This window comes from Homo sapiens, chromosome 12 (genome assembly GCF_000001405.40).
Source record: "Homo sapiens chromosome 12, GRCh38.p14 Primary Assembly".
NCBI classification, from domain to species: domain Eukaryota; kingdom Metazoa; phylum Chordata; class Mammalia; order Primates; family Hominidae; genus Homo; species Homo sapiens.
Window position 1 is genome coordinate 4,133,245 of NC_000012.12, and position 12,283 is coordinate 4,145,527.

Below are 12,283 nucleotides of genomic sequence, written 5' to 3' on the forward strand. Positions count from 1 at the left end.
GCTTTCAAACGTTAGTGAGCATGGGAATCACCTGTGGGCAGGGGTGGGAGGAATGCAGATCTCCGGGCACCACCACTCCCAGTGTCTCTGATTCAGCCGGCTGAGGTGGGGCCTGAGAGTCTGCATTTCTAAGAAGTTCCTAAATAATGTTACTGATGAGTAGGGGATCACACTGAGGGCATGAGTTCTGGAGGTAGCATAGATTAGGGACAGAGCACACTTACCTTCACAAGCTCTGATTCCAACACTTGCCAGATGCTTGGTGAATGTTTGGTGAGTGCTTGAGTTGGGAGCTACTTTATTTTACCTCCTGTAATCTCAGTTTCCTCATCTGGATAAGAGTCCACCATTTAAAGGAAGTATTAAGGGAAGAGTCTGAGTATATCCAGTACTCAGACCAAGGAGTATGCCCAGAGGACAGGGGACAGATGGCCTCTTTCCAGTGTGCTGTTCGATTTTCCCACTGCCTTTCAGGTCTGCCTAGCCCTGAACGAAAGGAGAACTAAGAAATGAAGGAGAAGTGAAGAAGAAACAGGAGGGCAACTGGAAGTGGCGAGTCACCAACATTAGAAACGTTAAAGAGAGAAACGAGAAGCAAGCCTGGAAGCTGAGCGGAGGCCATAGTGATAGAGCAGGCAGAGTGGCAGAGTCCAGTCAAGGCTAAGGAGGAGGGAAGGACAGGAGAGTTAAGGCCCAGGTTTCACAAGCAGGAGAGAAAGCTGAGGCTGGCCAGCTACAAGCTAGAGCCCCACAGCCCAGCCAGATGGTAGCACCCAGCCTGGCTCTCCTTGTCTATCCTACAGTCGGCAGCTCCCTTGCCATCAGGCTCTTCCCAGCTTGCAGCTGCTCCCAGACACTGTCTCCTGGGGAAACAGCTGCTGCTTCCCCTTCCTGAATGGAGCTGCTCATGCTTTCCACCAGCCTGCTACTGGTCCAGTCCTGTGGGGAGACACACGCACGCACACACACGTATATGCACACCCACGCGAGCATCCATAGCTGCATGTCATCCCGGAGTTCTCTCTCTTCCTTCTTTCTCCCTCCAACCACCCTCACCCCAAGCAATGGCCCCAGCTGGTCAGCCACCAGCCCCTGCCAGCCTCTCTCTCCCATCCCCAGCACCCTACTTTCAAAACCTAAGACTTTGTGTTTCACGGGGCTGTCCCTAGGAAGAGGACCCAGGTTGACCTAACTAACACGAACGCCCCGTCCCCATGATGGTGGGTGGGAGGTGGGGGAGGGGATGGTAACTCTGCAGACTGCAGTTGATTTGCTGCTCCTGAGAGGACCCAAAACTTTTTCTTAAAGGGAAAAATGCAGAAAGGCCCCAATTCCTGATTGGCTATCAGCTGGACTCTGGAATGCCTCCATTACCGTATATGCTCACATATGAGATGCTGCAGCAAAAGAAAAGTATCCTATTTTCCAAGCCAAGGTGGAGTAAAAATAGAAAAATAGCACATTTATTTCCCCATGAAGGTCCTGTCTCTCTTCCCAGTCTCCACCCCCACAAGCATGACGACTGCCCTAGGAATCGTGATTTTGCAGGGGCCCTATCTTGGCTGGAAAGGAAAACTGAAATATACAATTGACAAGAAGGAGGACTTCTCTGATGATTTTCCTTGAGGCTCATCATTTAAACACACTACTATTTTTCCCGGGGCTTCTCATAGGCAAGGATATACGGTATTTCGCGTGAGGAATGTGCTATTCACAATCTCCCACCTTTCTGGATAGCGGAAGGGATTAAAATGATCTTATAGCTAATCGATTCTCAGGTCCCTGGAGCACCCCTCCCCCACAACCTCCGTGCCCCCAACCAGAAACCTTCCTGCATCCTCTCGGCCTTTCCAGCCAACCTCACATTCTTCCACCCCCACCCCTGGCCAGGAGGGCCAAACAGAGGAGCAGGGAAAGGGGGCAGGGAAGGAAGGAAGTTTGTGAGTGTCTGAATGTGTGCTCTGGTTACATTCCAAAGGCAAACAAAGTAAAATAGAAAACATTAAAGTTAGCTCACCATTGTTTTGTATTATCCATGCCCCGCAAATCTTCATTCATGTAGATAGCAACCAGTGAACAACATTCTCATCACAGAAGGTCAGAAATGGAGGGCCTCGGAGACTGTCATTATCTGCCCTGTTCATTTTACAGCAGACAGCTCTAAGAATCAGAGAGGCTGGGTAACCTGACTAAGGTCACACAGCCAGTTCCTAGCGCCTCCAGGGCTAGAACTTAGTTCTCCTGAGGTTTAGGCCAGGGCTCTGCTCTTTCCACATTCCATACTTGTTTTATTTGTTTTGTTTTGTTTTGTTTTTGAGAGAGAGTCTTGCTCTGTCGCCCAGGCTGGAGTACAGTGGCGCGATCTCGGCTCACTGCAAGCTCCTCCTCCCAGGTTCACGCCATTCTCCTGCCTCAGCCTCCCGAGTAGCTGTGGCTACGGGTGCCCACCACCACGCCCTGCTAATTTTTTTGTATTTTTAGTAGAGATGGGGTTTCACCACGTTAGCCAGGATAGTCTCGATCTCCTGACCTCGTGATCTACCTGCCTCGGCCTCCCAAAGCGCTGGGATTACAGGCGTGAGCCACCTGCCCGGCCCACATTCCATACTTGTTTTTTATTCACATACAAAAGTGCTTCTTGGTTGCCTCTGCCTTCAGTCAGCCTCGTGGTCTAAACCAGTTGATAGGGTAACAACATGGGGACCTTTGATGTTTGGGCTGCCCTTCATGACAGGAAAAAGGAACTACTAATTGCCCCGGTCTAGGTGCAGACTGAGCCACGTGCTGGGCCCTTTGAGGACGTGGGCGGCAGAAGTCTCACAATGACACTTGGTTGCACAAACCCAGAGCAATTGAGGGGAACTGAAATTTGATCTTTTTCCTTCTTTCTTTCTTTTTTTCTCCAACAATGTATGAAAGAGCCAGTGAAAACCCCAGCCAGACACACTGAATCATTGAGAAACACAGAAGCGGGAGGCGCCCATCCCTTCTTGGTGATGGGGGAGCTGGAGGGCAATGACTTCATCAGCTGTTGTTGCTGTCACAGTCCCAGTGTCGTGAGGCGTTCCCTGTTCACCTCTGTGTATCCACAGTTATGTGAATGGTTGTGTGCATGAATTTGTGGACAGGGGGCTTGGGCCTGTTTCTGTGTATGCGTGTGTGTGTGTGTGTGCGTGGTGTGTGTGTGTGTTCTTTCAAACACACTCACTTCCTCTTCTGCCGCTCACTGCCATAATGCTCCAAGAACCCAGCACAAGGTTTCCATTAGTGAAGCACATTTTTGTGCTATGGATGTTGAACCAGCGGGGAAAGAAAGCAGACTGTTGTCTGTGATGGATGGGTTTTCTAGAGAACTTCCCAGGGTGGTCCTTAAGGGGGCTGGGACGGAGGCATGCCGGACGCACAGCCTCAAAACATTCCCTTGTTTGGGTTTGACATGTGTGCTGGGGGTCTGTCTGCTCTGCCGCTGGGCCCTGCAATTCCATTCATCCCTGGGCCCTCCTTTCTGCCTCGATCCTTCCCTTCCCCCCAACATCCCTCACTTCCAGTTTACCTGAGTTCAGAAATCCCTTTTTCTCTTTCTAGAATAAAAAGTAGTTTGTCCCGTGTGCTTGCTTTTGGTTGTGTATATGGCTGCCCCTAAGAGGAAGGGAAGGTTGGGGGACCGGAGCTGATGTGATGTCACCCGTTACTCCTTCATGTGAACAGTCTCTGTGTATCTCTTCAGAGTGCTGAGCTTCTCACAGACGTTATAAGAATGATTTTCCAGGATCATCACCCTATGGGCGAATAGAGACAAGGAGAGATGAGGTGGATGACCCAGAAGCAACATCTCCCACAATGCCTGGAATACAATTAGCATGTGTCGGATAAATGACTAATAAAAATAACTAGGATTCTATGGAAACTGAGTTTATAAATCACTTTCCCTCTGCTCAGTTAGCCCCACTGTTTTAAAGCAGAAGGAAATAAGCCTCCAGGAGCTTGAGTGATTTGTCACGTGACCATTAAGTGGCAGAGTGGGGAAGCAAATCCAGTTCCCAGACTTGAGGTTCCCCCAAGATGTTTACATCTTATCACCGTGTTAGGGGAGCCTGGAACCACTATCCGAAGAAGGGCCACTGCCCTCAAGGTGCTTTCAACCCAGCTGGGGAGACAGAAGCTGCAGAGGAAATAATACAGAACAATTCAGGGAAATATCATACAGAAACACTTTGGGGACTCCAAAGGCCCCGGGAAGACAGGACTGCATTGGGGACCATTATCCCAGTTCAATGAGGAGAAAATGGAAGGGCCATAAAGAAATGGAGCAGTTCACCCAAGGTCAAATCACTGAGAACAAAGGCAAGTTAATGAAAGCCTTAATCCAGTTGAAGGGTTTTCAAAGAGCTTTTAGGAACAGGTGGGTGGCAGACTAGAGGCTCAGACCTCCCAGGAAGGGCATATCGCCCAGTCCCCCACCCACAGTCTTTTCTTCACTTCAACATAGGAAAGTTCTTTCCATCACTGGAGCAGAATATCCCAGAGTAAGTTGCGCGATATACTGTTAACTCAAAAAGTTTGATGAGGCCAGGCGCAGGGGCTCACACCTGTAATCCCAGCACTTTTGGAGGCTGAGGCAGGAGGATTGCTTGAGTCCAGTTCAAGACCAGCTTGAGCAACGTAGTGGGACCCCATCTCTACCAAAAAAAATTAAAAAATTAGCCTGTGGTCCCAGCTACTCAGAAGGCTGAGGCAGGTGGATTGCTTGAGAACGGGAAGTCGAGGCTGCAGTGAGCTGTGATCACATCACTGTGCTCCAGCCTGGGTGACAGAGTGAGACCCTATCTCAAAAAAAAAAAAAAAAAAAGCTATAAGGTAAAGCAAGTTTCAGAGTTACCTCATACTATCCAAGTCTTAGGAATGGACATATTAACAGCTCTGAGAAATCCTGCAGACAAAACCAAAAGTAAACAAAAAAATACCCAAAATAGGAAACTCCTCCCACGACCAAAAAAATAATAATAATAAGGAAAAAAACTTTATTTAACCCAATGTTATTTTTCCAGGGCACTCTTTTTTCCCCATCCTAAGGAATGCCTATTAACAACACCAGGAACTAAATACCCTGAGGAACACACTTTGGGAAACAATATCCACAGCCTTTTTTTTTTTTTAATTATACTTTAAGTTCTAGGGTACATGTGCACAACGTGCAGGTTTGTTACATATGTATACATGTGCCATGTTGCTTTGCTACACCCATTAACTCGTCATTTACATTAGGTATATCTCCTAATGCTATCCCTCCCCCGTTCCCCCACCCCATGGCAGGCCCTGGTGTGTGATGTTCCCCACCCTGTGTCCAAGTGTTCTCATTATTGAATTCCCATCTATGAGTGAAAACACGTGGTGTTTGGTTTTCTGTCCTTGCGATAGTTTGCTCAGAATGATGGTTTCCAGCTTCTTCCATGTCCCTACAAAGGACATGAACTCATCCTTTTTCATGGCTGCATAGTATTCCATGGTGTATATGTGCCACATTTTCTTAATCCAGTCTATCATTGTTGGACATTTGGGTTGCTTCCAAGTCTTTGCTATTGTGAATAGTGCTGCAATAAACATATGTGTGCATGTGTCTTTATAGCAGCATGATTTATAATCCTTTGGGTATATATCCAGTAATGGGATGGCTGGGTCAAATGGTATTTCTAGTTCTAGATCCTTGAGGAATTGCCACACTGACTTCCACAATGGTTGAACTAGTTTACAGTCCCACCAACAGTGTAAAATTATTCCTATTTCTCCACATCCTCTCCAGCACCTGTTGTTTCCTGACTTTTTAATGATTGCCATTCTAACTGGTGTGAGATGGTATCTCACTGTGGTTTTGATTTGCATTTCTCTGATGGCCAGTGATGATGAGCATTTTTTCCTGTGTCTGTTGGCTGCATAAATGTCTTCTTTTGAAAAGTGTCTGTTCATATCCTTCACCCACTTTTTGATGGAGTTGTTTGATTTTTTCTTGTAAATTTGTTTAAGTTCTTTGTAGATTCTGGATATTAGCATTTACCATTGCAGCGAGGGGTTTTTGTAGGTAGCTAGCTTCCTTGCCCCGGGGGTGGCATGCAAATATTGCATGCCTTCAGCTGAGTAGGAGATTACTGCCTTGGAGAGAGGATGGAAGGAGATGGCCTCTTAAGCCTCCTCCTACTTGGGTTTCCTGATCTGACCAGTAGAGCCAATGTCTCGTCTCCTACCCTGTGCCTGGGATCAGCTGGAGTACTGCCCTCTCTGAGGCATCTGCTAGCATATAAGAAGGAATCTTTCATCTGGATGTTTTTTAGGGACCATCCTACAAGCTGGCTTTCTAAGGATCTTCCAGCTCTTAGATCCCCTAACTCATACATAAAAACGAATATGTATTTTCTTATCCTTCTGGAAGGAGTCTCAGTGCCCACAGCCCATCACACATATGCACACACACACAGCCTACTGAACACACTGCACATCCTCCCCAGAATGTTGCCAGAGATTTTATCTCATTCACCTGTGATGTGCCCAGCACCTACTATGGAGCTTGGCATATAAAAAGTAGGTGCATAAATAGTATAAGCTAGGCTGAGCATGGGGGCTCATGCCTGTAGTCCTAGAACTTTAGGAGGTCAAGGCGGGAGGATTGCTTGAGCCCAGGGGTTCAAGACCAACCTGGGCAAGATGGTGAGACCCTGTCGCTACAAAAAGAAAAAAAAATTTTTTAATTAGCTAGGCATGATGGCACATGCCTGTGGCCCCAGCTACTTGGAGGCTGAGCTGGGAGGATCTTCTGAGCTGAAGAAGTCAAGGAGGCAGTGAGCTATGATGGTACCACTGCACTACAGCTTGGGCCACAAAGGGAGACCCTGTCTATAAGAATAAATAAGTAACTTTTAAAAGGATGAACTAAATTGAATGCACAGTGCCTGTGGGTTGCTGTAACACTTTCTTTCTCTCTTTACCCAATGAACCCCCTCGCAGAGACTGTCTAGAGTCCCCCAAAGAGCTGGGTTTTGAGGGGTTGAGGTCCTACTGTAAGAGTCAACTGTGCTAAGCACAGTTCACTGTAACTTCCTCCCCACCCTCAACCCTGCCCCCACCCCTTGATCTCCTATAGGCCCATGATGAAACCCCTACCCTAAAATCTGTTTCCTTAAGTTGATGCTGGTGGATCTGGCAGCATCACTCTCCCCTTTCTCCTGTTCTCCCACTTTTCTCGTCTTCATCCTTTCCTTTCCACACTGTTTTCCTTTCCTCTCTCCTTTCACTCTGTTCCTTGTCCTCTCCTCGCTTCTCTCTTCTCTTTCTCCCCCTCTCTCTCCAACTAGAGGGGAAAAAGAAAAGTGTCAGTTTTGCTCCAGCCAAGCAGCTGGGCCCTCAGCCAGTGCCTTCCCTCCAGCTGCCTGATGTAGGATGATCTAAATAAGAAATGTGGGGGTGGGGGTAGTGTCTTCCAGGGACTCCCTTCACTAGCCTCCTGGGTTAAAAAGCACACTGGGGAATCTCTGCCTTTGGCTGGGGCAGCGCCTCTGGCCAGTTTGGGCAACACCCTCCGCCATCATGACTACCGTCTCTGCTGCCCTGAAGGGGACGCATGTTTCCAGGTGACAGGTTTGGAGGCTGCCTTAACTCTTTTTTAGGGAGAACGGGTTCTGCTCCAGGTCCCTAAAATGGTTTGGTTGCCGCAAAAGCCCCAGGCATGGCTGGGAAAGTCCAGATGTGTGTTAGAGGTGAAGTAGAGAGAAGACAAGGGCTTACTTTCTGCATCTACCCAAAACTCCTCAGGGGAGACCCCAGAAAAGAAAGAGCTCAGGGGCCTGTGGGTGGGTGGGAGTGAATGCTAAAGAGGAGACCTGGAGGCCCAGGGAAAAGGTCATGACCCACTAAATACACAGGCAAAAGGGGCCCCACAGCCTGGGTCCCCAGGTGAAAGAGCAGGAAACGGGAATGTCTCCCGGGTCTTGACATGTGGTTGTAATGATCACAGACCCCTTAGGCTCAAAGGGACCTCAGAGGTCATCTCCATCCTCCTGCTTCCTGGTGGGGCTGGATGTAAATTAGTCAAGATGTGCAGGCAGCTCTGTTCTTAAAGGTCCCTGGAGAAGGAAAACCGGGCTCCTTTTCACTGCATATTAGGCTCAGGATCCTGGTGTTGACTTTTTCCAGATCATCCAGAAAGGTCACAGTTTACAAAGGCTACATCCGAAATTGCCCTGTGACTTGGCTGGCTGTCTGGACTCCTGGGCCTTCGGTCAATAGTGCATTGTCATCACAAGTTTCCCACGCAAGAGTTCTTGCTGTCCAGCTCAATTCCTCTGGCTGCTGTTGAGGGTCTGTGCTCATCTCCATGACATATGCAAAGTGCTTAGAATGGTGCTTGGCACATAGTGAGCACTACGTAAGTGTTAGATATTATCATAATTGCTGCTATGGTTGCAGCTTTCAGTGGAGATGGAAATCAGTTACTCATCAGTGTCCTTCTTGAGAGTACCCATTGCCTATAATGCTGTCCTAAAGGCAGAGAGGGGATTTGAGAATCATACATAGCTAAGGTGTCTCCCCTGACCTACCTCCCCAGCCAGGTTATGCCCCCTTTATCCTGTGTGTTCCCAGAACCACATTAGCTGACCTTTTTGAAGGGGCAGTAGTATGGTATAGTCATGGCTAGGGGCTCTGAATAGGGAAGACATAAAATGTATTATCCAATCCAGGATGCTTTTGCAAGTGGGGAAAATGGCTACTGTTAATGAGGTATGCCAACAGGCATAAACCAGAATTTTCCCAGGCAAAGTGGGACACCCATCACCCTAGCTCTGGGTTTGAATCAAGTCTCTACGATTGGTTCTTTGGCAGATCCTGAGCAGTGTAGTTTGTGTCTTGAGCTCAGGTTTTTCTTTTCCTTTTGAGATGGGGTCTCACTCTGTCACCCAGGCTGTAGTACAGTGATGTGATCACAGCTCACTGCAGCCTCAACCTCCCTGGGCTCAGGTGATCCTCCCACCTCAGCCTCCTAAGTAGCTGGAACTATGGGCCCACATCACCACACTGGGCTAATTTTTTTGTATTTTCTAGAGACGAGGTTTTGCCATGCTGCTCAGGTTGGTCTCAAACTCCTGGGCTCAAGCAATCCTCCTGCCTCAGCCTCCCAAAGTGCTGGGATGAAGGTGGGAGCACCTGCTCCACCATTGAGCTCAGGTTGCTTATTAGTATAACATACCAAGGTAAAATTTCTACCCCCTAGGACAGAGGATCTCAGCCTTTGAAGTACGTGAGAGTTTATCAAAAAGCAAGATGCTCAACTCCACTCCTGGAAACTGGTCCAATGGGTCAGGGGGTGACCTAGGAGTCTGCATTTGGACAATCACCTCAAGGGATTCTGGGAGGGGATCTGCAGGTCAACATTTCAGAAACATTGCCTTTGGGTCACAGTAAAGACCATGAAAATAACTTGAGGGGACACCTGGAAGAGCGCGGACCACATTTCTGGAGTAGAGAGGTGCAATGTCTTGCCCATATTCACCCGAATCTAGCAGTAGAGCTGATCCCAGCCCAGGTGTGACAATTTGCAGATATGCGGATGACGGACAGCTCCCAGGTCCAGGCCAGGCACTGCAGAACGTTCTATTCCTGCTGCTCACCTTCCCCCGCCCGCCCGCAAGCTCCACCTGGAGGACCTGGGTGGGGTGGAGCACAGGTTTGCTGAGAAATCTGGCTGAGAGATCTGACCGTTAAATGGGTTTCATCCTGAAATGACTTTGAGTGAAAACTGAAAGTAAAACTTGAAACCACCCACTTCCCGCTGCTTCCTTCCCTCGAGCGCTGAGTGCAGCTAAGCCACTCCTGTCTTGTAGGGCTTGCTCCTGCCTCGCCCTTCCCAGACCAAGCCCTGAACCCCACTGACGGTCGTGCCTGAGCCCCACCCTTGGCACCACCTCAAGGACTCTGTTCCTCCCCTCCCACTGCCCAGGCGGAAGTCAAAACCGTGCGTACTGCAGAGGAGGCACATCCTTCGAGAACAGCGAACACCCCAGCCTTCTTATCAACCCTGACTCCTATTCATATCCTCACCCTATTTATTAAATAAGAACCAGTTCTTTCATTTAAAAAATGGATCAAAGACGGCTGGGCGCAGCGTCTCACATCTGTAATCTCAGCACTTTGGGAGGCCAAGGCGGGAGGATCACCTGAGGTCAGGAGTTCGAGACCAGCCTGGCCAACGTGGTGAAACCCCGTCTCTACTAAAAATACAAAAAATTAGTCAGGCGTGGTGGCAGGCACCTGTAATCCCAGCTATTCGGGAGGCTGAGGCAGGAGAATTGCTTGAACTGGCAGGTGGAGGTTGCAGTGAACCGAGATAGCGCCATTGCACTCCAGCCCGGGTGACAGAGCAAGACTCCATCTCAAATAATAATAATAAAATAAAATAAATAAAAAGTTATCAAAGACATGTGTAATGACCACAGCCTCCGAGCTGCATATTAAGCATAATGCAATACTGAGTGGGCATCATTTAAGTCAAAAACACAAAATCATAACATTTAAAATACACATTTTACTGTGAAAGCAAGGTACATGCTCACAGCAAAAACTCAAACAGCACAGAAATGGAAGACATAGTTTCAAGAATCTCATCCTCCAAAAGCCGCCTCTTTTAATAGTTCAGCATTTTTTAAAATCCTATATTGTAGTGAGTCTGTGCAGCAGAATTCCTATTGAATGCACACTGTTACCTGAAGCTCTGAGAGGTTAAGTTAACTTGCCCAACATCACTAGGCTAGGACGTGGTAGTGCCACTTGGTGATATCGTGAGACAGAGAGAAAAACAAAAAAACAAAAAAAACGACCTGCTACTAGGGAAAGAGACAGGTGGGATACAACACACTGAGAAGTGGGGGCATTGCCCAGTCTGTTCACACTTGCCTAGGAGACAGGAATGACCTCGGCAGATGCACACATTAGCCAGGAGCCCAGCCTAATGCGTGGAATTAAATATTGAAAGCTGAAATGCAGTTTAGGGATCATGGAGTGGCACCTCTTAATTTTATAGAAAGGAAAACTGAGACCCAGAAAACCAGTGCCAAATAGGCCAGTGATCTTCAAACACTTCCCAAGAAATATGCCAGCCCGGGCAGCTTCAAGGCATCCCTTTCCTGACTTCAGCTTCCACAGTGCTCATTTCTGTCTAGATCTGCCTACTGTCCCGCCTCACAATTGTTCTCCTCTCACTTTACAGAAAAAAATGCACCTCTCACCCATCCTGCATCTTACTACATCCCGGGTATAAATGGTCTGGGGCCTCAAACAAGGGAACAAACAAAACCTTGGCATCAGTAAAGAGCAGCCTTCTTTACTTAAGGCTCTTCTTGCCTTACACATATTTATTCTAAGGTCGAAGCTCCATGGTGGAAATGGGAGTGTTTTGTCTGCCATGGGATACACTGAATTCAGATACAGTGTAGAGCAGGGGCAAGAATGCTGATAATTTCTATTTAACCACCTTACTTCTTCTTTCCTCCTGCAAAAGTCAAAAGAGACCTTGCCTCAAGGAGAGACCTGTGAGAGCACAGCAAGCGGCTATCAGTGTGAACTATCAGGTTGTCACCTGATTTCTTCCAGGAGATAAGCACAGGGCAAGTCCATGCCTTTCCTATCAATCTATCTGAAAATCAGAATTCAGAAAAGAGACGGTTATCCCTAAGGCATATGTGAATTCTTCTTGGCCTGGCTCATGCTCCATCATTTCTCCATGATTTCAGCTCCTAGCCCACTGTCACTCTCTCCAGTCCTATCTTTTGTCTTGGAGATTTTAAAATACAGTAAGCACGCTTCTTGGGACACCTCTTTTCCCCTGCCACACTGTATCCACCTCCCCCATGGTCCACACACTAGACCTTGTTATTATCAATAATTTCAATCCCACTGTAACCTCAATTTCCGGCTCTTTTTTTTTTTTTAGACGGAGTTTTGCTCTGTCGCCAGGCTGGAGTGCAGTGGTGCGATCTCAGCTCACTGCAACCCCTGCCTCCTGGGTTCAAGCTATTCTCCTGCCTCAGCCTCCTGAGCAGCTGGGATTATAGGCGCCCGCCACCATGCCCAGCTAATTTTTTTGCATTTTTAGTAGAGACAGGGTTTCACCATGTTGGTCAGGCTCGTCTCGAACTCCTGACCTCGTGATCCACTAGCCTCCCAAAGTACTGGGATTACAGGCGTGAGCCACCTCACCTGGCCAGGCATGCCACTCTTTAATCCCACCTCCTGCCTTTCCAGC

At 48.1% G+C, this 12,283-nt stretch overlaps 1 annotated feature.

Moving 5' to 3' along the window:
• Positions 1,487-2,092: an enhancer, noted in NCBI's record as "NANOG-H3K27ac-H3K4me1 hESC enhancer chr12:4243897-4244502 (GRCh37/hg19 assembly coordinates)". NCBI's record gives its function as "activates a minimal SCP1, AML or CMV promoter by ChIP-STARR-seq in primed H9 embryonic stem cells {active_cell/tissue: H9 hESC(primed)}" and the evidence as "EXISTENCE:reporter gene assay evidence [ECO:0000049][PMID:30033119]".